This window comes from Homo sapiens, chromosome 1 (genome assembly GCF_000001405.40).
Source record: "Homo sapiens chromosome 1, GRCh38.p14 Primary Assembly".
NCBI lineage: Eukaryota > Metazoa > Chordata > Mammalia > Primates > Hominidae > Homo > Homo sapiens.
This window is the reverse complement of record NC_000001.11, coordinates 178,246,977-178,274,876: the sequence shown is the minus strand read 5'-3', so window position 1 is coordinate 178,274,876 and position 27,900 is coordinate 178,246,977. Positions and strand designations below refer to the sequence as shown.

General features: G+C 38.1%; 1 protein-coding gene across 9 annotated transcripts in view; it reads right to left on the bottom strand.

The window, feature by feature from the left end:
- RASAL2 (RAS protein activator like 2) overlaps positions 1-27,900 on the bottom strand; it is a 384,747-nt gene that overhangs the window by 203,974 nt on the left and 152,873 nt on the right. The window contains exon 1 of one of the 9 annotated variants that reach the window (XM_017002853.2): positions 23,616-24,627. The exons of the other annotated variants lie outside the window; for them this stretch is intronic. Within the exon in view, the coding sequence (XP_016858342.1) occupies positions 23,616-23,649 (34 nt within the window). The 5' untranslated portion in view covers positions 23,650-24,627. Of the gene's footprint in view, positions 1-23,615; positions 24,628-27,900 lie in introns of those variants that run through there. 9 annotated transcript variants of the gene reach the window in all.

The following is a 27,900-nucleotide window of genomic DNA, read 5'->3' as shown; positions in this document are numbered from 1 at the left end:
GCTCATGCCTGTAATCCTAGCACTTTGGGAGGCAGCAGCAGGAGGATCCTTTGAGCTCCAGAGTTCAAGACCAGCCTGGGCAACAAAGTGGGACCCCTGGCTCTACAAAAAGAGTACAAAAATCAGCCAGGTGTGGTGGCTTGCACCTTTAGTCCCAACTACTCAGGAGGCTGTGGCAGGAGGATTGCTTGAGCCTGGGAGGTCGATGCTGTGGTGAGCTGTGATTTGTGTTACTGTATTCCAGCCTGGGTGACAGAGCAAGACCCTGTCTCAAAAAGAAAAGAAAGAGAAAAGCATAAGAAAAACTAGCATGGCACTTAAAATATGACCATAGTATTATATTACTAAGCGATAAAAACTCAAGATCATTTTCATGTCTCGTTTCTGTTACCGACAGAAAAATGAACTACACTAAGACTTAATCTCAAACAGCATTTAATGCACATTCCTTTTGTTATATTTAGTATCTCTCCCTATATTAATATATTCTCATGCTTGCCTCTTTTTGAATTGGATCGCATCACTTTCCTTTAGGGGCAGCTGGTGTGGGAAAAGAATTAGAGCTTTTCAAGGAATGTGATTCTTTGTGGAGAGGGTGAAAAAGAGTGAACTCAGACACTAATTTCACTATTGAGAAATTAGTGTCTGACTTTTTAGCAACTGGTTACACAACCAATGCTGTGATATCACCTCTCTACCTAAGAAAGCAGAAGAAGGCAGGCTACATTAGAAATAAAAGTTGTCAAGAGTATGGCAGCACTAAAAATCTTTAATAGCTCTACCTCTATTTATAGCATCAAGTGCAATAGAATCCAGAGCTACATATGCATCTTTTCTGAATTGAGACCCATTTGAATCACAAATCGCTGAGCTTACAGTGAAAACTATCAAGGTGATAATATAAGCATCTCTAAAGAATGTTATCCGTCACTCACTAGGAATTAGATAACCCAATTCGATGAGCACAACTTAGCTGACTCATATCAGCAGTGAAAAACCTTTCTTTTTATGAAAAACCACTGACCTCAAGTGAGTGGTAGGAAACAAACACCTACAATACAAGGCTATAAAGCAGTAAGAAGCAGCATTTAGTTTTTCTCTTTAATACGGCCAACACAAATAGAAAAACATCCCTCTTATCGAAATCTAATCCATTCCTGAAAATGCATTGGATGGCAAATTTTCATGTAACAGGAGCCTATATTCCATGATTTTTTAAATGGAAAAAGAAAATTTAGTTCAAACCCATCTAAAACTCCAAATTAATTTCCCCAAATATTAAGTATTCTTAAACCCCTATACGTAATCCATCAGAAAGTTCTAAATTAAAAATGCCAATACAAAATTGTTTAACATTTGGTGAACCTGTTAGTGGGTATGTTTATACATAGTATATACATCAGACACAAGTTACATTCCCTTCGACACTACAAACCTGTACTGTAAGGTAAATAAACAATAATTTGTTAAAGATATATAATGAATGCAAATAAGGCAATAAAATTAAACAAATTACAAGGCTTTCTAAAACTAACACCATTATCATAATTTTCTTTATAAAAGTCATACACACAGTACAAGAGGACATATCCACGGCCAAGTTTATGGTTTTTGCCTCATTAGCCTTTATCACATATCTTTTCTTCAAAGTAAGAATTTTTCTAATTTCCTAGGCAAACCTACTTTTTGCAGCCTTTTCCATTATCTTAGAAGATATTAAGATTGCATAAAACCCTTAACATAATCATGAAATACAATCCTATTGGGAACATAGCTGATACAGGACAATAAGTCTATATTCTCCAACCACATTTGTGTGGCACTTATGTTTTTGGCCACAATACACGTGCAGGGTTCTTTTAGTAATATTTTAATCTGGATAGTCAATTTAAGGTTAAAAAAATTCCAAGTCGTTACAGCAAATATTTGGATTTTTTTTTTTTTTAAGGTGGAATCTCATTCTGTCACCCAGGCTGCAGTGCAATGGTGCGATCTCAGCTCACTCACTGCAACCTCTGCCTCCTGGGTTCAAGTGATTCTCCTGCCTCAGCCTCCCGAGTAGCTGGGACTACAGGCATGTGCCAGCACACCCAGCTGATTTTTGTATTTTTAGTAGAGACAGGGTTTAACCATGTTGGCCAGGCTGGTCTCGAACTCTTGACCTCAAGTGATCCACCTGTCTTGGTCTCCCAAAGTGCTAGGATTACAGGCTAAGCAACCGTGCCTGGCCAAATAGTTGGATTTTAATTGAGAAAAGAAAATATAGTTCAAGCCCATCTTGAACTAAAGTGAGAGTTCAAATACCAAGGAATATATTCATATTACAGAGAATAAAAAGAATGAACATAAGGAAGAAATGATTTATGAGTATCAAGTAGGAAAATAAAAATGAAAGCCAACTGGAAAAGAAATGAATAGAAAGGGAAAGGGGGGGTCCTTTAATGTAGAGTTAAAAGGTATCTTAGAGATCAATAAATCACACTTCCTTAATTCATAAATAAAATAAGGCTGAGAATTATATAATTATTTGCTCAAAGTGACACACCTAGCATAGCTATCTTAGAATTCAGTTATTCTGACGTATAGTCCGGGATTTTTTTCTAGCATATCAATAAAGCTTCTCCTTTATTTTTAAGTTCAATGAGTATTTGTTTATTGTAAGTAAAGCACTGTACTCAAGCCTCGGGATATAACAATGAACAAGACGGATCTAGTGACTGGACTTGTGGAACATCAACTTAATGGGGTCAAATACTGTACAATCAGTATATAACTAATTTAAAATAATTCTGATAAACACTACAAAAAAGCAGTATAGGGTGCTGTGAGAACATTCAACAAGCAATAGACTTAGGCTTGGGCATTATTACAGCTGGAAGAATGGTAGGTGGTGAAGGGAAATGTATTAGCATTTCAGACAAATGAACCACAGATGTAAAAGCCCTTGAGGAAGACGGTGGTCCTACTTCAACAATCTGAAAGGTGGGGGGCCCTACGGCTGAAGCAGTTTTGGAAAGCAAGGAAGTAGTGCAGAGATAGGAGGCTAGTGAAAAGTTTGGGGCAAGATCATGCAAAGCCCAATAAACCAGGTTAAGGAGGTTGATTTTTATCCTATGAATAATGGGAAGCATCTGAAGAATTTTAAACAGAGGAATGACACCGCTGATTTGCATTTTTGTCAAAAGGTGAACAGAGGTTTCATTTACTGAGATTAGGAATTCTGAAAGAAGAACAACTTTGAGGAAGAAGCTGAGAAATTCAGTTTGGGTCACATCTAGTCAGATAAAGTCAAGCCAAATGCTAGATCCATCTGTCTAAGGCCAAGATCTCTAACTCTGGCCTACAAAAAAAAACTGGAATTGCTCCAAGAGCTCCATAATGCCTTATTCAAATTTCATTTTAAGAAATATATGGCAGCTACTAGGTTAAAACAGTAGATTGAACATATATAATTTCACTTCCTTTCAAAACCCCACTTAAACTACAGTAAAGATAAATTTATATACGGAGAGACAGAGACATGGACCCACAAAAGTAGTGAGAACGGAAATAAAAAGTAAATAAAAGTTTAAAAGCTAGAAGAAACATGTTCAAGTGGTAACTGACTTAGCAGGCCTGAGTAACAGAATCCTAGGTTAAGAATGAGAAAAGCTAAGAACCAACCTAATTTAAACCACAGAATCCTTGAAAGGTTCAGGGATAGGCCAGTACTAGGTAGCTCTCAATGGAGAAGAGGGGTAGTATAAAATCTGTTTAAGAGGCAGAGTACCAAGATCCTCTCGCCCATTATATAGATAAATGTCCCTTCCCAACCCAGGTAAAAGAATGGAGGTTTGCTCTCCTGGGAGGGTAAAATAAATGGTGGACAAAAGAGTAATTGTCACAGTTGAGAAAAGGCTACTCTAAACATGTTAAGACATGAGCTTCCCCCAAAGGTCTCTTCAACTCCCATTTGACTCTCAAAATTAGACTTTTACATTCCAGACAGGCAATTTAGAAGAACACTCTGGGCATCAGACCATCCCAAGAGAAAAGAACTAAAGATACTAACAAAAGGGTTCCCCCGACAAACAGCAGGTCCAGGTCACCTTATAGTAAAGCCCTTAAAATGGGCAAGGTCCATCTTCACACTTAGATCCTCCAGTAAGCTTTCTCATCTCCCATTCTTAATCTGAAGCAGACCAACAAGAATTACCAGAACCAAAAGAAAGCTTCTAGCAGAAGAATATAGACATAAAAAAAAAAAAAAGAGAGACACAGAAAAAGGCAACTTGAAGGAGACACAAACAATACAGGGAAAAAACAAAACACTGTTATCCTCAAAGAGACAGATACAAGAAAAAATGGCATCCAGGAAACAAAAATAAGATATTTTTTAATAAAAAGCAACACTTACAGAGCTAAAAAGATCTTTTGTATATTAAAAACATAATAGCAGAAATGAAAAAAATGCAGTAATATAATTAAAAGATAAAATTAAGAAAATAGATCAAAAAGACAAAAAGATGGAAAAGAAAAAGGTAAACTGAGAAACCAATCTAGGAGGGTCAAGATAAAAATAATAGGCAAGAAGAAACAGAAATGAGGAAATCATTTGTGAAATTTCTCAGTACTAAATGATGTGAGTTTCTAGATCGAAACCCGAGTGTCCAGCAAAATTGATAAAAACAGATGACCACCAAAACATATCAGTAAGAAAAAAAACAGTTATGTATAAAACATCAGGAATAAGAATAGATCTGGACTTCTCAAAAGCAACACAGGAATTTGGAAGACAATGGAGCAATGAGTTCAATATTCTGACAGAAAAGTATTTCTAACCTAGATTATTATTCACTTAGCCAAACTAACAACCAAGTGTGAGAAAAAAAGGATTTTAGATAATCAAGGCCTCAAAAATTTTGCCTACCACGAACTGCTAATCAGGAAAAATACCCTACTGGAGTGTTACAGGAAAGGGTCCCGATCCAGACCCCCAAGAGAGGGTTCTTGGATCTCACGCAATAAAGAATTCAGGGCGAGTCCGCAGTGCAAAATGAAAGCAAGTTTATTAAGAAAGTAAAGGAATAAAAGAATGGCTACTCCATAGACAGAGCAGCCCCAAGGGCTGCTGGTTGCCCATTTTTATGGTTATTTCTTGATAATATGCTAAACAAGGGGTAGATTATTCATGCCTCCCCTTTGTGGACCATATAGGGTACGTTGTCATGGCATTTGTAAACTGTCATGGCGCTGGTGGGAGTGTAGAAGTGAGGACGACCAGAGGTCACGCTCGTCACCATTTTGGTTTTGGCAGGTTTTGGCCAGCTCCTTTACTGCAACCTATTTTATCAGGAAGGTCTTCATGACCTGTATTTTGTGCTGACCTCCTGTCTCATCCTGTGACTTAGAATGCCTTAACCATCTGGGAATGCAGCCTGGTAAGTTTCAGCCTCACTGTACCCAGTTCCTACTTAGGATAGAATTGCTCTGGTTCACACGTGTCTGACAAGAAGATGTCCTCCTTCAAAATGGGGGAATGTCTTAGTCTGCTCAGGCTGCCTTAACAAAATATTATAGACGGTGTGAGTTAAACAACACAAATTTATATTCACATAGTTCTGGAGGTTATGAAGTCCAAGATCAAGGTACTGGCCAATTTAGTTCCTGATGAGGGCTCTTTCTTGGCTTACAGATGGCCACCTTCTCACTGTGTCCTCACATGGGGAAGAGAGATCACTGGAGCCTCTCCCCTTCTTTATAAGGGCAACGGCCCTATTAAATTAAGGTCCCACCCTTATTACCTCATTTAATCTTTATCACTTTCCTCACAGGTCCTATGTCCAAATACAGCACACTCAGATAGAAGGCTTCAACATAAAATAACTTTGGGGAGACACACTCAGTTCATAATAGAAAGTAAACCAAGAAAACAAAAAGCATACAGTATTTAAAAAAACAGGTGCTCCAATACAGGAGAGAAGCAAGTAGTATCTCAACATGACAACGAATAAGAATAGGAGGTTGATAACTATCCACCAGTCCTGATTGCAGCAGTATGGTTAAAGAGACTGGCAGGCTGAAGGCTGTCATACCATGCTTTTCTGCCTATGTGCCATCTTTAAAAACTATTGAAGGAAGCCAGGAGCCGTGGTGCATGCCTGTCGTCCTAGCTACTCAGGAGGCTAAGGCAGGGGGGTCATTTGAGTCCAGGAGTTCAGGTTCAGCCTGGACAAAGGAGCAAGCAATACCCCTCCTCTCTCTCTTTTTTTTCTAAGAGACAGGGTCTTGCTTTGTTGCCCAGGCTGGAGTACAGTGGTGTGATCATAGCTCATTGTGACCTTTAACTCCTGGGCTCAAGCAATCCTCCCAAGTAGCCATGATGACAGACATGCACCACCACACCCAGCTAATTTTTTTTCTTTTTTTTTGAGATGGAGGCTCGCTCTGTTGCCAGGCTGGAGTGCAGTGGTGCAATCTCGGCTCACTGCAACCTCTGCCTCCCGGGTTCAAGCAATTCTCCTGCCTCAGCCTCCCAAGTAGCTGGGACTACAGGTGCTCACCACCATGCCCAACTAATTTTTGTATTTTTAGTAGAGATGGGGTTTCACCATGTTGGCCAGGATGGTCTCCATCTCTTGACTTCGTGATCCACCCGCCTCGGCCTCCTAAAGTGCTGGGATTACAGGTGGGAGCCATTGCGCCCAGCTGCTAATTTTTAATTTGTTTATTTTATTTTGGTAGGGTCTCACTCTATTGCCCATGCTGGTCTTAAATTCTGGCCTCAGGCAATTCTCCTGCCTTTCCACAACTGCTAGGATTATGGGTGTGAACCACTATGCCTGGCCTAGACCTTGTCTCTTAAAAAAAAAAACAAAAAACAACAACTAACTACTGGAGGATATGCTTGAACAAAGCAAGGAAGTAAGTAAAAAAAGAGAGGAAGATCCACACAACGAGGAATACAACCTATGAAAAAGGCAAAAGGAATTCCAAGAATGACAGCAAAAGAAACTCCTAAAATGATAGCTATTCAGGAAATAGGCCTAAAGGTAAGAAGAGGAGGGCTCCATGAGGAATGTTTCCAAGAAAAAAGAAAAGAAAGCAAAATAACACTAGATCTGAGGTGGGTGATCACGAGGTCAGGAGATTGAGACCATCCTCTGGAGGCTGAGGCAGGGGAATAGCTTGAATTCAGGAGGTGGAGATTGCAGTGAGCCCTGCATTCCAGCTGGGCGACAGAGCAAGACTCCCTCTCAAAAAAAAAAAAAAAAAGACACTAGATCTGATACGTTACCTGGTATTATCGACCTTGAGTAAAAATATAATGCAATATTACAGTAAGGTCTGAGAAGAATAAGTAATAAGAAAACTAAACAAACAGGAAAAAAGGGCAATTACAAACTTCAAAAAAAAAAAAAGGAAGGAAAAATAATAATGATATTCAACCATACTCAGCATGGCATAATAATACAAACATTGAATACTGATAAAAACAAACCAACCAATCACCAAAAACTATAGTGAGGAAGTTGGAATGGTTTTATGTGATAGCTAAATCCTCATCCGCCATAATAGGAAATCAGTAAAAAGGTCTAAAATGGATGAATAAAAAAGCAACAGTGTATGTATATTATTTGGAATTAAGAGAGATATGTAAATGCCGAAATAAAATGCTAGAAGAGTCTAAAGTTCTTTCTTCAGAAAAAGGGAACAGGGATGGAGAAAGTCAATGTAATCTGTTAAGAAAAGGATGGATAGACTGACAAAAATGTGGTAGGAGTTAAGAAATTATTTTAGGCAGATAGGAGAGGAAAAGGGGTCCTTGGAAAGTTTTTGTCTCTTTCGAAGCAGCTTCAGAAACATTTCTTGTCTAGCAGGAAAGCCCAGCTCTTAGAGCTGGGCTGGAAACCTTTGATATACAAATGCCAGCCATTAGAAACTGGGTCCGCCCAGCATGGCGATTCCTACCCTTGTTCTCTTGCCTTTGCCCCCACATGTGCCTGGCAACATGGCTGCCCCCCATTTCCCCAAGTGTATAGAAACTCATGGCACTCTGCATTTGCATATTAAAAGGCTAGGGTGGGAGGGCCAGTTTTTTCCCACAGGCTACATGAATGACATGCCTGATCAAACCAATCCCCTGAGCCCTATGCAAATAAGACACTGCCTCTTCCAGCCTCTTCATATACCTGGCTGGTTTCTGCCGCACTTGAGGTCTCCTCTCAGCTTTGGAGGCCCCCTCCCTCTGTCTCTGTACAGGGTAGCTTCTTCCTTCTTTCTTCCCTCTTCTTTCTTGCCTATTAAACTCTCTGCTACTTAAAACCACTCCACGTGTGTCCATGTCGTCTTATCGAATTTGGTGTGAGACAAGAGCCCTGGTGTTCCTCCACTCATTGGAGCCGTATCAAAATGAATAAGGCTGTCCAGTAAAACCAAGTGTAAATGGTATGAGAAAAAAGAAACAAGGGCAGACAAACCAGCTGAATACAGGCAAAAGACTTGAATGCTCACTTCACAAAAAAGAATATCCAAATGTCCATTTAACATGTAAAAAGATGCTCAACTTCATTACTCATCAGGGAAATGCAAATTAAGGCCACAGTGAGATAGCACTACATACCCACTAGAATGGCTAAAATGAAAAAGATACTAAGTATTGTTGAGGAATTGAAGGATCTGAGGGTGAGAGTATAAATTGGTAAAATCACTTTTGAAAACTGTTGGACAATATTAACTAAAACCGAACGTATACATATCTAGCAATTCTACTCCTAGATATATACCCAACAGAAATGTGGACATGTTTTAGTCAAAAGACATGTATAAGAACATACATGCCAGCACTATTCAAAATTGCCAAAAGCTAGAAACAATCCAAAATAAAAACCAACAGTAAAATGGATAAATTTTGGTAATTCATAAAATGAAATACTATATACCAGGGAGAATGAAAGAACTATAACTATAGAAAACAATATGTTTGACTCTCACAAATATAACGTTGAGCAAAAAAAGATACAAAAGATGTGTAATTTTGTTTAAACATCAAAATTGGGTAAACCTAATCTATAGTATTAAAAGTCAGTTTAGTAGTCACTGTTTGCAGGTGAAGTGTCTGGGACAGGACATAAGTGGGCTTCTGAGATGGTAATAATGTTCTGTTTCTTGAGCAGGGTATAAATTACACAGATATGCCCCTTTATGCAAATTCATCAAGCCATACATCAAGCTATACAATTTATGTACTTTGTGTACATTATCCTTTCATAAAAAGTTTACTTGAAAAAGACTGGACAAATTACTCAACCTAATTGAACCTCAATCTCCTCATCTATGAATAGGGACTATAAAAATACCTACTCTTTTAGGGAGTTTTTTGAGGTTCAAATGAGATAATGCATACTGAGTGCTTAACAAAGCACTTTGCACATACTGGCATACAATAATAACGTTTTTCTATTATTAATTATTTGGGCATTGAAAAGGAGGGAAACTGTAATTCCAGCTATTTGGGAGGCTGAGGCAGGGGAACTGCTTGAACCCAGGAGGCGGAGGTTGCAGTGAGCCAAGATCGTGCTACTGCACACCAGCCTGGGTGACAGAGGAAGACTCTGTCTCAACAAAAACCAAAAAACCAAAAACAACAACAACAAAAGGAGGGAACCATGACTATATAGTTCCATTTGAACATTTGAACAAGGCCAAATGTGAGTTATATGAAAACACTAATTTAGTGGTATAGTCAGATAACTAGATTCAAATCTTCCATGTATTACAGATGATTTGGGGCAAGTGTGATATTCTGATATAATAAGAAATACATATTTGGTCTTTGTCCCCGGTTCCTAGCACAGAACTGCTAAAATCCTTAGAATTTCTAGAGTAATCAGTTGGAGAAGCATCTTTTGTTATTCATAGTAAGTCCCTTTCAAATTTACTTAAGTTTATACTAATGAGTTGACTCTTAGTGGCCCCCAAATGGGGGCTGGTTGCCAGAGGAACCAACCCTGTGATTAGAGGGTTGGAACTTTCAGATGTAACCCACACCCCCATGGAAGAAATGAGGCTGGAGATTGAGCTAATCACCAATGGCCAATGATTTAATCAATCATATCTATGTAATAGAGTTCCATTAAAACTCTAAACAGTGGGGTTCAGAGAGCTCCCAGGTTGGTGAATACATCCACATGCCAGGATGCTGGTATACCCTAAAACTCCATAGGGACAGAAGTACCTGCCCTTAGAAATCTTCCAGACCTTGCCCTATATACTTCCTCATCTGGCTGTTCATTTGTGTCCTCTATGATATCCTTTTGGTAAACTGATAATAGTAAGTACTATATACTGTTTCCCTGAGTTCTGAGAGCCACTATAGCAAATTATCAAATCTGAGAGGGGGTTGTAAGAACCTCTGATTTTCTAAATTATACAAGGGGATAACATCACAGTTTTGTGCATGAGGGTTTAGAGAGAATTTTAGAAATAGATTACAAGTAGAAGGCAATTCCAAACAAAGAATGTTTAAAACTGTATAAGTCTATCTTGGTTTCATGTATGCGTACGTGAATACATGAGTTATTTAAAATATGATGGTAAATAGTGAAAGAAACCTCTGAAAGAGTTGACAATGGATGCCTCTGTGGAGCAGAAACTAGCTGAGGCAACGGGTAGAGATAGGGAAAGTGAATGATCATTTTCATTTAAATCCTCGCAGAACTGACTTTTTAACTATGTACATCCACTGCTTTAACTTAAACAATCAGAAAAGAAATGCTGGTTACAAGGTATTTAATCTTTCCCTTATAAATATCTAAGCAGCACTTGAAATATTAGGTTCAAACTTAGACTTCTGCATAACTCTCTAAAATTTTTATTTCTCCCATAAGAAAAGTAAGAGTACCTAAATATACCAGAAGGAAGGTAATACTAACTCAGAGCACAATGGCACACGCTGACCTCTGCTAGAATTCCTATGGAGTTGTTTAACACAACTCAATACAGATTTTCAGCAGACACAAATTATTTTCAAAGATCTTTGAGGCCCAGCATGGTGGCATATGGCCTGTAATCCCAACTATTCAGGAGGCTGATGGGGGAGGATCGCTTGAGTCCAGGAATTCAAATCCAGCCTAGGCAAAATAGTGAGACCCTGTCTCAATTTTTTTTTTTAAACGATTTTAGAGAAGAAGTTACCAAACCACAAACGTTTGGCAAAGGGAGGCTCAGAGTCAAACTGAAACCCTGGCAAGACCCATGTCCTCAACTTAGGTTATTTGATTCAATAAGTTAACACACCAGAAAGAGTTGAGAGCAATTTCTGGAACACAGAAAAGTACTCAGTAAATGTTAACTCTGATTATTATCATTCTTGAGAAGCATGAAGGTCAAGTGGTTAAGAGCACAGACTTTGGAGTCAGACTGCCTGAAAAGGAATTCCCATCCTATCACTTGCCAGCCATGTGACTCTAGTCAAGATACTTAACTTCTTAGAGCTCCAGTTTTCTCATCTTTAAAATGGAATAATGTGGTTTCTACTATGTAGGAATGTGGTGAAGATTAAGTGAGAAATATCAAGCATTACAAACAGTGCTTGGCATACTGTAAAGCCCTCAATAAATAATAGCACTTGTTATTATTTTAACTTCACACATCTGAAACAATGGGTTCATTTGTTACTCCTATTGAAAATGTTCAGATGGTAAAAATATTGTAATAAAATCTGATAGAAAAAACTGATTTAAACTGTGAATGGTCTTCAGGATTATATGATGAATGTAAATAAACCTTTCCTTGGAAATATTCTGAGGAAAAAAAGTACTGCACAGATTTGCTCTAACAAAAACATATTTCCATCTGATACCATCAGACAGACTCTAGTTATATTGCTGTGCCAAAAATCTACATATTATTCTTAATACAAACTTTACAAAGGAAAAGACAACAAATCCAGAGCCTTTTGGCTAGAGAAGCAGTTACAAGCAGAAATGAAATATAAGGGCCAAAACACTTTCTGTTATTTAGGTCTATTTGTTCAGCTTAATGTACACCATTTAGGTCAGTCTACCAATTCCCTCTCAGATTTAAAAAAAAAAAAAAAAATGAGTGGGGGGCAGGGGGGATGAGAAGAGAGAAAAAAATCTTTTTAATAGCACTGTTTTACTCTAACCAGTTATCAAATACTCCCAGCTCTAAAAGTCTCTTACCACTCACAGTTGATGGCTAAACTTGAGAGGAGTAATTGATCTTCTTCATCTATTTCTCTACAGGTTTCAATTGGTACAAAAATGTGTATATACTTCTCAAATGCAATCACAAGAATATAAAACAATGACAAATTTGATGGGTGACATCTTTTGCTATTTTTAAAAAAGCTGAATCCAAACTCGTAAGATTTAAAGAAGGAAAAGTAAGGTTGTCACTCTTTCTTAAAATTAAAGCCTGAGAAAACACACACACAAATTAAGCCTTAAATCCTATGGGCATTCAGTTGCTTTTCCAAAACTATCTGAACTCCTCTGTAGGTCCACAAACAAGACGTTCATTGTGTGGATCTGTAAATTGTATGACGTCACTGAAACACAAGCACCAATTGGTATTATAAACAGTTTGTGTTTCCAAGGATACTGGGAACTTTAAATACCCTGCATTTATACAAAGCCCAAGAGCACGACCTTCCTAACAATACAAGGAGCCTGCCCACTTTCTCTTTTTAGTCACTGTTTTCAGCAGAGAAAGGATACTGATTTTGCTAATAATTCCTCCAAATAATATACTTGGAATATTCCTCAATCATTCAATTATTCGTCTTTATATTCTTAATATAATGACACCAAAAAAAGAGGATTAAGAATTTAAATAGCCCTAGCAGGCCCCTAATAGAGAGACTCTCAAAAGGCTAGCTAGGCTGGAGTCCTTTAAGAAAACTTCATGATATAGATTTTTTGTAATGCAAAGCACATCAACACTTTTTTTTTTTTTTTTGAGACAGTCTCACTCTGTCACCCAGGCTGGAGTACAGTGGTGCAATCTCAACTCACTGCAACCTCCACCTCCCAGGTTCAAGCAATTCTCTGCCTCAGCCTCCTGAGTAGCTGGGATGACAGGCGCCCACCACCACACCAGGCTACTTTTTTTGTATTTTTAGTAGAGACGGGGTTTCACCATCTTGGCCAGGCTGGTCTTTAACTCCTGATCTCGTGATCCACCAGCCTCCCAAAATGCTGGGATTACACGCGTTGAGTCACCACGCCCATCCAACACTTCTAATTAATCCTTACAGTTATGTTCCTCTGTGTTATGAAGTACTCTTTTAGTAACACAGAGCACTTATGTGCATTTCCTGGAAAAGTTACTTTTCTTTACTTACTATTCACCTTGAACTCACATATAAAAATTCAGTATATAAACTTGTTTGTGTTAGCTGGAGTAACTACTGCAACATAAAAACACAGGTGGAATATGGGGTGATTATATTATTGTTAAAAGTCAAAAAGGTTGTATGTCTTTATAAAGGTATACAAAAAAAGATATGTAGAGCTAAGTTGTTATAAACGTCTGTAGCTAAGCTCTTCTCTAATACCTATCCAGAGGTAGGCCTAAATATTTATATTATGCTCACATCAAATTTATTTGTTTTCCATGAGTTACAAACATGAGGGTTTGGACAATTCCAGAGTTCTTATTTTTCTACTTAGGAGATAAATATTTTAATCAAGTATTTCTCAAAATACAGATTGGAAACTGGCAAGGAAAAAAGGGAGAATTCACAGAGACTAAAATTAGAGAGTTCCAAAGAGCTGTTTAATAATGATGGCAGCAGCAAGGAGCTCGGAGCTGTATGAATAGAATGACCTCCACACCTTCTGGCTCTTCTCCTTACTGCATCTCACATTCAGACTGTTCTAACGCCAAGATTATAGAACAACAACAATTTCTATTTAGCATTCACAGTTCATCAATTTATTAAACACTGAATATCAGTCTAAGTACAATAACAAGAACAAACTGCCAAATTTGGGAACAAATCACTGATTTATGATAAGCTTACAACTGATGGGTGCAGAAGTAAGTGGGCATGTTGAAGAGCAGTCCTCTCCAACATGTTCAATGCACCATTAGCATCAGTCAGTAGGTTTCACAGAAGGAGTGGAGAAATTTGGGGGAATTAATCATGTCAGTTAATCCAGCAAGTCCTTTATAAAATACTCTTGATATTTTAGTGAAGTTAGTTATTTAGGATATAGAGTTTGACTTAAGGAAATAAAATAATGGGAAATATTTTACCTGTAAGTGAATTTGTTTTTTCTTATTTGGAAGACTTTTTAAAAACTTTGTATGAACGATTCACCTAATAGTGTTAATGAGAACTCTACAATTCTTAACAAAAGTCAAGACTGTAGGGAAAAATAAAACTAGAAACACACATTAGATAAAAGGTGCCAGACTTTCTTGAATCTTCCAGTTTGCTAAAATTATTATCATATATATATATATATATATATATATATATATATATATATATATATATATATTTTTTTTTTTTTTGAGACGAGTCTCGCTCTGTCGCCCAGGCTGGAGTGCAGTGGCGTGATCTCGGCTCACTGCAACCTCCGCCTCTCCGGTTCAAGCAATTCTCTGTCTCAGCCTCCCAAGTGGCTGGGATTACAGGCGCCAGCCACCACGCCCGGCTAATTTTTTTGTATTTTTAGTAGAGACGGAGTTTCACCATCTTGGCCAGGCTGGTCTTGAACTCCTAACCTCGTGTTCCACCCACCTCGGCTTCCCAAAATGCTGGGATTACAGGCGTGAGCCAACGCGCCTGGCCTCAAATATATTTTTAAAACAAAATTTACATCTGTGACGAAGGCAAAACAAACCTTACATTTCAGGTCATTTGTAAGATCATTAGGTCTAAAATAAAAGATTATTTTTCAGTAATTCAAACTGTTAAGGTTGTTTATGGCTGTACTCTACACTCTGAAGTCTAAATACAATGATTAACAAAATAAACATCACTAGTGATATCAAAACATGCAGGGGGGAGTGACCCATCCCCGTAATCTCAGCACTTTGAGAGGCCAAGGAGGGAGGATGACTTGGGCCCAGTATTTCAAGACCAGCATGGACAACAAAGTGAGATCCCATCTCAACAAAAAAAATTAAAATATTAGCTGGGCATGGGAGCACACACCTGTAGTCCCAGCTACTGGGGAGGCTAAGGCAGGCCTGGAGGCCAAGGCTACAGTGAGCTGTGTTCACACCACTGCACTGTCCAGTGAGTGACAGAGAGAGACTTGGCCTCTAAAAACAAAACAAAACATGTAGTTTACCTAGGAAGACGGACATCTTTTAATAACAGCTTTATGAAGATACAACTAACATAGCACATAATTTAGCCATTTAAAGTGTACAATTCAACAGTCTGTACTTTATTCACAGATATGTGCAATCAACATAGACGATTTTAGAACATTCTTGTCAGCTCAAAAAGAAGTTTCACACTTTGGGAGGCCGAGGCGGGCGGATCACGAGGTCAGGAGATCGAGACCATCCTGGCTAACACGGTGAAACCCCGTCTCTACTAAAAATACAAAAAAATTAGCCGGGCGTGGTGGCGGGCGCCTGTAGTCCCAGCTACTCGGGAGGCTGAGGCAGGAGAATGGCGTGAACCTGGGAGGCGGAGCTTGCAGTGAGCCGAGATTGCGCCACTGCACTCCCACCTGGGCCACAGAGCGAGACTCCGTCTCAAAAAAAAAAAAAAAAAAAAAAAAAAGAAGTTTCATTGCCCTTTACACATCCATCCACCCATCCCCCTCGGCCCTAAGAAACTACTAATCTGCTTCCTGTCTCTATATTTCCATAGTCTGGATACTTCATATGAATGGAATCATATAATATGTGTGGTCTTTCACTTAACATAATATAATCAAGATTCGTGTTTAGAAAGTGTTAGTACTACATTCTTTTTAGGGCTGATTATTATTCTATTGTATAGATATACTACATTTTATTTATACATTCATCAGTTGATGAACATTTGGGTTGTTTCCACCTTTTGGCACTTATGAATAATGCGGCTATAAACATTCATGTATGAATTTTTATGAGGACATACGTTTTCATTTCTCTTGGTTATATAACTTGGAGTGGAATTGCTGAGTGATTTAGTAATGTTATTTTAATTGTTTGAAGAACTGCCAGGCAGTCTTTCAAAGCAGCTACACGATTTTATGTCAGCAATGTAGAAGGGTTAAAATTTCTCCACATACAAGTCAACACTTGTTATTATCTGACTTTTTGATTCTAGATATCCTAATAGCAAGATGTGGTATCTCACTGTTGTATTGATTTGTATTTCCCTAATGATTAATGATGCTGAGCATCTTTTCATGTGCTTACTGGCTATTTGTATACCATCCTTAGAGAACTATCTACTCAGATCCTTTGCCTGTTTTTAAAATTGGCTTGTCTTTTTATTATTGAGATGTAAGAGTTTTTATATGTTATGGATACAAGTCCCAAATTAGGTAATTAATTTGCAAATTTTTTCTTCCATTCTGTGGGGATGTCCTTTCACTGTCGTCTTTTTTTTTTTTTTTTTTGAGATGCAGTCTTGCTCTGTTGCCCAGGGTGGAATGCAGTGGCGCGATCTTGGCTCACTGCAAACTCCACCTCCCGGGTTCAAGTGATTCTTCTGCCTCAGCCTCCCGAGTAGCTGGGACTACAGGTGCGTGCCACCATGCCTGGCTAATTTTTAGTATTTTTAGTAGAGACGGGGTTTCACCGTTTAGCCAGGATCGTCTCCCATCTCCTGACCTCATGATCCGCCCGCCTTGACCTCCCAAAGTGCTGGGATTACAGGTGTGAGCCACAGGGCCCAGCCCTCCTTTCACTGTCTTGATGGTATCGTTTTGTTTTAAATATTGATGAAGTCCAATTATTTATTTTTTCTTTTGTTCTTCATGCTTTTGATGTCACTTCTAGAAATACTTTGCCAATCCAAGGTCATTAAGATTTAGCTATGTATCAATTCTTTTTTTTTTTTTTTCTTTTTTGAGACAGGGTCTCACTCTGTTGCCCAGGCTAGAATGCAGTGGCATGATCATGGCTCATTGCAGCCTCAACTCACGGGCTCAGGTGATTCTCCCACCTCAGCCTCCTGAGTACCTGGGACTACAAGCACACGCCACCAAGCCTAATTTTTTGTATTTTTGGTAGAGGTGGGGTTTTGCCATGTTACCTAGGTTGATCTTGAACTCCTGGGCTCAAGCACGTGGGCAGCCACCTGCCTTGGTTTTCCAAAGTGCAGGGATTACAGGCGTGAGCCACCATGCCCAGCCTACATTAATTTTTATAAAGTTATTATACTCTTATGATGAGTGGTCTTGATAACCTTGTCGAAAATCAATTAGTTTTATTAGACACTTGATTTTATTTCTACACACACACACACACACACACACACACACACATATCCCTGAGCCAGCACCACACTGTCTTGATTCTTGATTGGTTACTACTACTTTGTATTAAGTTGTGACATTAAGAAGTGTTCTTTTTATCCCCTATGATTGTTGTGGCTATTCTGGGTTGCTTGCAATTCCATATAAATTTTAGAATCAGTTTGTCAATATCCACAAAAAAGTCAGCTGGGATTCTGACAGGGATTGTATTGAATCTGTGGACCATTTTGTGAGTATTGTTGACATCTTAACAACACTAAGTCTTCTAATCAATGAACATGGGGTGCATTTCCATTTATTTAAATCTTCTTTAATTTCTTTCAATAGTGTTTTGTGGTTTTCAAAGGTTTTGCACTTCTTTTATTAAATTCCTAAGTATCTTATTCTTTTTGATGTTTTATGAATAAAATTATCTTAAATTTTTGGATTATTCATTGCAAGTATATAAAAATACCATTGGGCCAGGCGCAGTGGCTCATGCCTGTAATCCTAGCACTTTGGGAGGCTGAGGCAGGTGGATCACCTGAGATCAGGAGTTTGAGACCAGCCTGGGCAACACGGTGAAACCCCATCTCTACTAAAATACAAAACTTTAGCAGGGCATGGTGGCGTATGCTTGTAGTCCCAGCTACTCGGGAGGCTGAGTCAGGAGAATTGCTTGAACCCAGGAGGCGGAGGTTGCAATGAGCCGAGATCATGCCACAGCACTCCAGCCTGGGCGACAGAGCAAGACTCTGTCTCAAACAAAAACAAAAACACTGATTTTTCTATACATTGATTTTGTATCCCATAATCAAGGTGAAGTTATATATTTACTGTATATTTTAGTGGATTTCTTAGGATTACATACATGTGAACATATCACTTGCAAACAGAAATAGTTTTACTTGTTGGTTTACAATCTGGTTGCTTTTTATTTCTTTATGTTGCCTAATTGCCCTGGTTAGAATTTCCAAGAAGATGTTGAATAGAAGTAGTGAGAGCAAACATCCTTATCTTTTTCACATTAGGAGGAAAGTATCTAATGTTTCCTCATTAAGTATGATATTAGCTGTAGATGTTTGTTGATGGCCTTTATCAGGCTGAGAAAGTTCCCATTTACTTGTTGAGTGTTTTTTATCATGAAAGGTGTTGAATCTCATCGAATGCTCTTTCTGTGTTTATTGGAAGAATCATGTTTTTTTCCTTTATTCTATTAATATGATATATTACCGTCATTGATTTTCTTATGTTCAAACAACCTAGCATTCCTGGGATACATCCCACATGGTCATAGTTTATAATACTTAGATGTTGCTGGATTCAATTTGCTAGTATTTTATTGAGGATGCCCCTCTATTTCTAATAAGAGGATTCCTTTGTTGTTACTGTTTAGTCTATTTTCTCTGATGTTAGTATAGCCACTTCAGCCTTCTTGTTGTTGCTCCTTGTATGATACATGTTTTTCCATCCTTTTACTTACAACCTATTTGCATTTCTTAAAGTGTGTCTCCTGTAGAAAACGTATAGTTGATTCTTATTTTTAATCCAGTCTCACAAGCGCTTTTGATTGGATTGTGTAATCCTTTCACATTTCATGTTGTTATTGACATAACTGAATTTATATCTACTATTTTACCTTTTGTTTTCTATTTATCTCTTGTTTTGTTGTTGTTCTTCTATTTTTCTTTTACTGCTTTCTTTTGCATTAAGTGAATATTTTCTAATACATTTAAATAAAGTTATTTTTCATTTTTTAAAAAAGCTATTGTTTCCTCGTTTCTCTATGGCTTACCATACATATCTCACTAGAATCATCTTCAGATTTGTTCTAATTTAATTGCAGTGGGATATAGAAATTTTACTCCCATACAGCTCTATTCTCTTTCTCCACTTTATTGTTATAGATATTACATGTATTAATATTATAAACCCAATAATATTAATACATTGCTATAATTACTTTACAATCATTGCTTTAGTCCAATACAGCTTTATTCCCACCCATGTCTTTCGTGCGTAATTAGCAAATATACTATGATATATTACGTTTCTATATGTTATGAGCCCAACAATAATAATATACATATTATTTTATGCAATTGCTTTTTCAATTAGAAAAAGAAAGGAGAAAATAAGCATTTATACTATCTTTTAAAATTACATAATTAGCTTTACTGGAGCTCTTTGTTTTTTTTCATTTGGATTTGAATTACTGTCTGGAGTTACTTGCTTTCAGCCTGAAGAACTTCCTTTAGTATTTCCTCTACGGCAAGTCTGCTGGTGACAATTTGTCTCAGTTTTTGTTTCTCTGGAAATATCTTTATATCATTCTGATTTTGCTTATATCTCAACAAAGATAGCTTTGTTAGACATAAGATGTTTGGTTGACAGTTTTTTTGGGTTTTTTTGGATTTTTTCCGGAGTACTTTCAGTATGTTATCCTATTGTCTCCTGGCTTCCTTTTTTTTTCCCCCACAGAGAAGATGTTAATCTCACTGGAGCTTCCTTGTAAATAATGAGTGGTTTTTCTGTAGCTGATTTCAAGATTTTCTCCTTGTACTTGACTGACAGTATTTTTATTATTATGTGCCTATGAATTTCTTTGTGTTTATCCTACTTGGAGTTCACTGAGCTTTCTGGCTGTGCAGCTTATTGTTTTTCAATAAATTGGGGGAGTTCTCTGCTACTGTTTCTTTGAATATTTTTCTGTTTCTTTCTCTCTCTCCTCTCCTTCTGTATTCCTGAGAAGAAAGAATTCCAACAAGGAGCTGAGGAAAGATGGAGCCTTGTGTTCTTGGCTTGGTTGCCAAGATTTGGTTGCAACAGTCTCAGTGAGCTCAGTAGTGGGAGGTCAGGAGCAGTTTCAAGTATTACAGACTCTTGCTTTTTCTTAGCATATTTTTCTAAGTTTTCTTGAACTTTTGTAGGTTTTTCTTCATTTATTGTATGCCTTTATGACCATTTCCAAAGGCTTTAAAATAACTGTTTTCTTTATAAGTTTCAATAATTTCACTGAGAAATGGATCAGCAGATAGACTGCAATGCCAAAAGTTGACATAATCCAGACATTAACTTTTAAAGACCCTGTGCATGTAATTACAGTTATGATATATGAAACGTACAAAATATTATGAGTATATAATATGGGGAGACTTAATCTAGTTTTGGGGATCAGGGCACATTTCTCTAAGAAAGTGACATTTGAATTGAGCTCTGAAGGATAAATAGACATTACCCAGAAGAATAAAATGATGGGGAAGAAGGAGCAGCAAAAGATCTCACACAGAGACAACAGCATTTGACTTGAGGTGAAAAGGAACATGGCACATTCTGGGAACTGAAAGTAGGCCAGTCATTGGAGCAGAAATATGATGGAGACGAATGGCTCCAAGTAAAGCTTGAGAAGCAGAGGCCAGAGTGTGTTATAAATTTTAAGCCTAATTTCAAAAAGAATGGACAACCATTGGATAGTTTTGAATAGAAGACTTACAGGATCGGATTTGTCTCTTTGAAAGATCATTCTGGCTACAAGTCAGGCCTCTGAGCCCAAGCTAAGCCATCATATCCCCTGTGACCAGATGGCCCGAAGCAAGTGAAGAATCACAAAAGAAGTGAAAATGGCCTGTTCCTGCCTTAACTGATGACATTCCACCATAAAAGAAGTGAAAATGGAAGGTCCTTGCCTTAACTGATGACATTACCTTGTGAAATTCCTTTCCCTGGCTCATCCTGGCTCAGAAAGCTCCCCCAATGAGCACCTTGTGACCCCCACCCATGCCCGCCAGAGAACAACCCCTTTGACTGTAATTTTCCTTTACCTACCCAAATCTTATAAAACAGCCCCACCCCTATCTCCCTTCACTGACTCTCTTTCGGACTCACCCGCCTGCACCCAGGTGAAATAAACAGCCTTATTGTTCACACAAAGCCTGTTTGGTGGTCTCTTCACACTGACACGAGTGAAACTACATACAGACAATTGACTCAAAAAAATCTCAAATATAGGGACACTTTTGCTTAGAAGCTGTAACAGGTTGAATTGTATGCCCCCCAAAAGTATGTTAAAGTTATGGCCCTTGGTATCTGCGATTGTGACCCTATTTGAAAATATGGGTCATTGCAGACGTAATTAAGTTAAGGTAAAGTCATATTGGAGTACGGTGAGTCTGAAATCTAATCACCCAAATCATTATAATAAAAGAAAAATTTGAAGTCACAGAAGAGACACACAAATAAGGCAGCCATGTGACACCGGAGACAGAAATTAAGGTGATGAAGCTGAATGCCAAGAAACACCAAAGACTGTCAGCAACCACCAGAAACAAGGAGAGAGGCATGAAACAGATTTTCCCTCAGAGTCTTGAGAAAGAACCAACCCTGCTGACACCTAGATTTTAAGCTTCTAGCCTCCTGAACTGAGAGAGAATAAATTTCTATTGCTTTAAGCTACCTCTTTGTGGTAATTTCTTACAGCAGTCCTAGAAAATGAATACAGAGGCTGCTACGGTAATCCAGGCAAGGTTTACCAGTTACTGGTAGATTGAGACCAATATAGTCGGGGGAGAGATAAACGAAGGTTGTAATAGAGAAATATTTAGGTGGCAAAAAGAATAAGAATTGCTGACGAACTGGATTTAGTGACAGGGAAAGCAAGGTGTTAAAGATGGTCACTTGATTTCTGGATTATCCAATCAGATGGTAGATTTTGATTTCAGGATTTTCTTGCATCAGACCCTTTTCTAACTATCATTATAAAGTTTTTCCCTTTAATTCATATCTAAAGATTCCTCCTTGAGCTTTATAGGCCAAAAACTGTATTCTGATCTTAATGATTTCATTTCTATTTCATTTCTCTTTCTTTAGTAGCATTTTAGGGATCTGCAACTGAAACAAAAATATAAAGAACTAGACTGCCAATTCCAAAGCATCACACCATCAGCCTGAAAGTACTCTTTTCTTAAAAACAAAATAAATTTTTTATTTTCTAATCTCCATACAACTATAAACATCAAAAAACAAAATGTTAACATTTTACATAAATATTAATGTTCATATTGCCATACTGCTGAGATAGATTACATCTCCTCCTATTCCAACATTTCCTTCCTAGTATAAGTGAATAGTGAGATTTCAGAGTGAGTATACTATCTGCATATTCATAATTTACCCCTGGATTTTTATTATTTCAATGTAAAATGCAAAATTAATAGGTTTAGAATATATTTTTCCACATAATTTTATTTTAAAATATTGAATTAAATTCCTCAGAATTAATTTTAAAATAAAACTCATTCAGGCTCAATCATAATCTCAAAGTGGATTACGAGGAAATTAGAACAAAAATTTCCTCCACCCCCACATAAATTTTCAGTTTATAAAATTTTTCAAGCACTTTATTCTCTTAAATAACATAATTTTTCAATGTTTTTGGACCCCAACCAGAAATGAATTTGGCAAATCTGAAACCTTTATGTGTATATCTTTTCTGATCTGACCATCTGACACTTAGAGACTTATATATAAACATTTAGTTAACTGTAGCTAATTTAAAATAGTTAAAATTTACATAACATTCTATTTCAAGCACTGACTATATTTGCAACCATCTTTACAAGGCTAATTCATTAATGAGGATGAAAGAATAAAGTAAATAGTTATGTTTTTACTTTCCCTACTAGACTGATAAGCATCTGAAGAAAAAGACTGTTTTACTTTTTTAATGTGCCATACACATAGTAGCCACTTGATCAATAATTATTGAACTGAATTAACATACAATTCTACTGTGGCAGGACAGGCTACATGATCTTTCAAGGTTCTAGCCCATGTTTTATCACTGTAATTAATCAACCATTCCCTGTCCCCACTTTCATCCTTTTTCTTTCCTTTAAAAAGTACCAAAGCTCATTTCAATTAAAACTATGTAGATAAATGAGGAATTATGTTCAGTCATTAACTATAATTTACATATACTGATTTTTACATATAGTTTTAGTATACTGTGGCAGCAAGTATCTACATTTCTTAAGTGATGAGGAAATCACAAAAGGGAGTGTTCTAACGGAAGCATCAACACTCCCACATTGCACATATACAGTAATTTTGGATTGCTAGTTAAGCAGATTTTTAAAGATTGTATGAGCAAGTTATTGTCAATGGAGAGAACAAAGTTATAAGCTTACATAGTACCTTTCTCCCACAGATGTAAAGCATTTTCCATCATTTTCTTTACGATCTCCCATGACGTAGGCAGATGGCAAGATTCTCCTAGCTTTAGATGGCTAGATTTAGACACGAAAAGGTTAACCAGTTTCCCAAAGAGTCCAAGTGAGTCAGGAACAAAACAGAAATGGAACCCTAAACTCCTGATTCTTAGTTTCCTACAAAAACTATCAGACCTCACTTCACTCTTGCTTTCTCTGATCTTAGAATTTTACAAAATAGTAACAAAAGTTATTAACAGTAGCAGCAAACATGACACTTACTAAATGCTAGCTAGCCCTTGACTGTACTAAGAGCTTTACATCCTCATGTAAGCCTCACAGTACCCCTGTGACTTTATTTTACTCATCTGTAAAATAAGTACATTTGATTCGAAGACTTTATGGTCTTTAAATTTCAAAATAACGTGACTAAGCAAACACAGTGTAAGGACACACATATATATATAGTAAGGTGTTTGCTTATAAGTGTTCACTGCAGTCCCCATAGTTGTAAACTTTTATAAAGAAATAAGGTTTTCTGGATCTGGCAAGATGACCTAATAGGAACAGCTCTGGTATGCAGCTCCCAGCGAGACCAACGCAGAAGGCGGGTGATTTCTGCATTTCCAACTGAGTGGCGCCTGGAACCCCAGCAAGACAGCACTGTTTACTCTCCTGGAAAGGCAGCTAAAGCCAGGGAGCCAAGTGGTCTCGATCAGCGAGTCCCACTCCCAAACAGCTCAGCAAGCTAAGAACCACTGGCTTGAAATTCTTGCTGCCAGGACAGCAGTCTGAAGTCGACCTGGGATGATCAAGCTTGGTGGGGTTGGGGCGTCCGCCATTGCTGAGGCTTGAGTAGGCGGTTTTCCCCTGACAGTGCTAAGGAGGCCTGGGAGTTTGGACTGGGCAGAACTCAACACAGCACAGCAATGTGGCTGTGGCCTGACTGTCTCTCTAGATTCCTCTTCACTGGGCAGGTCATCTCTGAAAGAAAGGCAGCAGCCCCAGTAAGAGGCTTATTGATAAAACTCCCATCTCCCTGGGACAGAGCACCCTGGGGGAAGGGGCGGCTGTGGGCGCAGCTTCAGCAGACATAAACGTTCCAGCTTACTAGCTCTGAAGAGAGCAAGGGGATCCTGACAAAGAGGGCCCTTCCAGCACAATACTCAAGCTCTGCTAAGGGACAGACTGCCTCTTCAAGTGGGTCCCTGACCGCCAAGCCTCCTGAGTGGGAGAGACCTCACAACAGGGGTTGACAGACCCTTCATACAGAAGAGCCCCGGCATCAGGCTGGTGCCCCTCTGGGACGAAGCTTCCAGAGGAAGGAACAGGTAGCAATTTTGCTGTTCTGCAGCTTCCGCTGGTGATAACCAGGCAAACGGTCTGGAGTGGACCTCCAGCAAACTGGAGCAGATCTGCAGAAGAGAGGCCTGTTAGAAGAAACACTAACAAACAGGAAGCAATATCAAAATCAAACACTAACAAACAGGAAGCAATATCAAAATCAACAAAAACGACCCATACAGAAAACCCATCCAAAGGTCATTGGACTCAAAGATCAAAGGTAGATAAATCCACGAAAATGAGGAAAAACCAGAGCAAAAATGCTGAAAATTCCAAGAACCAGAATGCCTCTTCTCCAAATGATCACAACTCCTGTCCAGCAAGGGCACCAAACTGGACAGAGAATGAGTTTGACGAGCTGACAGGAGTAGGCTTCAGAAGGTGGGTAATAACAAACTCCTCTGAGCTAAAGGAGCATGTTCTAATCCAATGCAAGGCAGCTAAGAACCTTGACAAAAGGTTACAGGAACTGCTAACTAGAATAACCAGTTTAGAGAAGAACATAAATGACCTGATGGAGATGAAAAACACAGCACGAGAATTTCGTGAAGCATACACAAGTATCTATAGCTGAATCGATCAAGCAGAAGAAAGGATATCAGAGATTGAAGAACAACTTAATGAAATAACACGTGAAGACAAGATTAGAGAAAAAAGAATGAAAAGGAACGAACAAAGCCTCCAAGAAATATGGGACTATGTGAAAAGACCAAACCTATGCTTGATTGGGGTCCCTGAAAGTGACAGAGAGAATGGAACCAAGTTGGAAAACACACTTTAGGGTATTATCCAGGAGAACTTCCCCAACCTAGGAAGACAGGCTAACATTCAAATTCAGGAAATACAAAGAACACCACAAAGATACTCCTTGAGGAGAGCAACCCGAAGACACATAATCATCAGATTCTCCAAAGTTGAAATGAAGGAAAAAATGTTAAGGGCAGCCAGAGAGAAAGGTCAGGTTACCTACAAAGGGAAGCCCATCAGACTAACAGCAGATTTCTTGGCAGAAACCCTACAAGCCAGAAGAGAGTGGGGGCCAATAGTCAACATTCTTAAAGAAAAGAATTTTCAACCCAGAATTTCATATCCAGCTAAACTAAGCTTCATAAATGAAGGAGAAATAAAATCCTTTACAGACAAGCAAATGCTGAGAAATTTTGTCACCACAAGGCCTTACAAGAGCTCCTGAAGGAAGCACTAAATATGGAAAGGAAAAACTGGTACCAATTACTGCAAAAACATAACAAAATATAAAGAACAGCACTATAAAGAAACTGCATCAACTTATGTGCAAAATAATCAGCTAGCATCATGATGACAGGATCAAATTCACATACTAACGATATTAACCTTAAATGTAATGGGCTAAATGTCTCAGTTAAAAGGCACAAACCGGTAAACTAGATAAAGGGTCAAGACCCATCGATATGCTGTATTCAGGAGACCTATCTCACATGCAAAGACACACATGGGCTCAAAATAAAGGGAATGGAAAGCAAAAAAAGCAGGGTTGCAATCCTAGTCCCTGATAAAACAGACTTTAAACCAACAAAGATCAAAAAAGACACAGAAGGGCATTACATAATGGTAAAGGGATGAATGCACCAAGAAGAGCTAACTATCCTAAATATATAAGCAGTCAATACAGGAGCAACCAGATTCATAAAGCAAGTTATCAGAGATCTACGAAGAGACTTAGACTCCCACACAATAATAGTTGGAGATTTTAACACCCCACTGTCAATATTAAGCAGATCAACGAGACAGAAAATTAACAAGGATATTCAGGATTTGAACTCAGCTCTGGACCAAGTGGACCTAATAGACATCTACAGAACTCTCCACCCCAACTCAACAGAATATACATTCTTCTCAGCACTACACAGCACTTATTCTAAAATTGACCACATAATTGGAAGTAAAACACTCCTCAGTAAATGCAAAAGAATGGAAATCATAACAAACAGCCTCTCAGACCACAATGCAATCAAATTAGAACTCAGGATTAAGAAACTCACTCAAAACCACACAACTACATGGAAACTGAACAACCTGCTCCTGCATGACTACTGCGTAAATAACGAAATTAAGGTAGAGATAACGAAGTTCTTTGAAACCAATGAGAATAAAGACACAACATACCAGAATCTCTGGGATACAGCTAAGGCAGTGTTAAGAGGGAAATTTATAGTACTAAATGCCCATATCAGAAAGTGGGAAAGATCTAAAATCAACACCCTAACATCACACTTAAAAGAACTAGAGAAGCAAGAGAAAACAAATTCAAAAGCCAGCAGAAGGCAATAAATAACTAAGATCAGTGCAGAACTGAAGGAGATAGAGACACGAAAAACTCTTCAAAAAATAAATGAATCCAGGAGCTGGTTTTCTGAAAAGATTAACAAAATAGATAGACTACTAGATAGACTAATAAGAGAGAAGAATCAAATAGACAAAATAAAAAATCATAAAGGGGATATCATCACTGATCCCACAGAAATATAAACTACCATCAAACTACCATCAGAGAATACTATAAACACCTGTATGCAAAAAAAACGGAAATTCTAGAAGAAATGGATAAATTCCTAGACACACACACCCTGCCAAGACTAAACCAGGAAGAAGTCAAATCCCTGAATAGACCAATAACAAGTTCTGAAACTGAGGCAGTAATTAATAGCTTACCAACAAAAAAAAGCCCAGGACCAGATGGATCCACAGCCGAATTCTACCAGAGGTACAAAGAGGAGCTGGTACAATTCTTTCTGAAACTGTTCCAAACAACAGAAAAAGAGGGACTTCTCCATAACTCATTTTATGAGGCCAGCATCATCCTGATTCCAAAACCTGGCCAAGACACAACAAAAAAAGAAAATTTCAGGCCAATATCCCTGATGAACATCGATGTGATAATCCTCAAT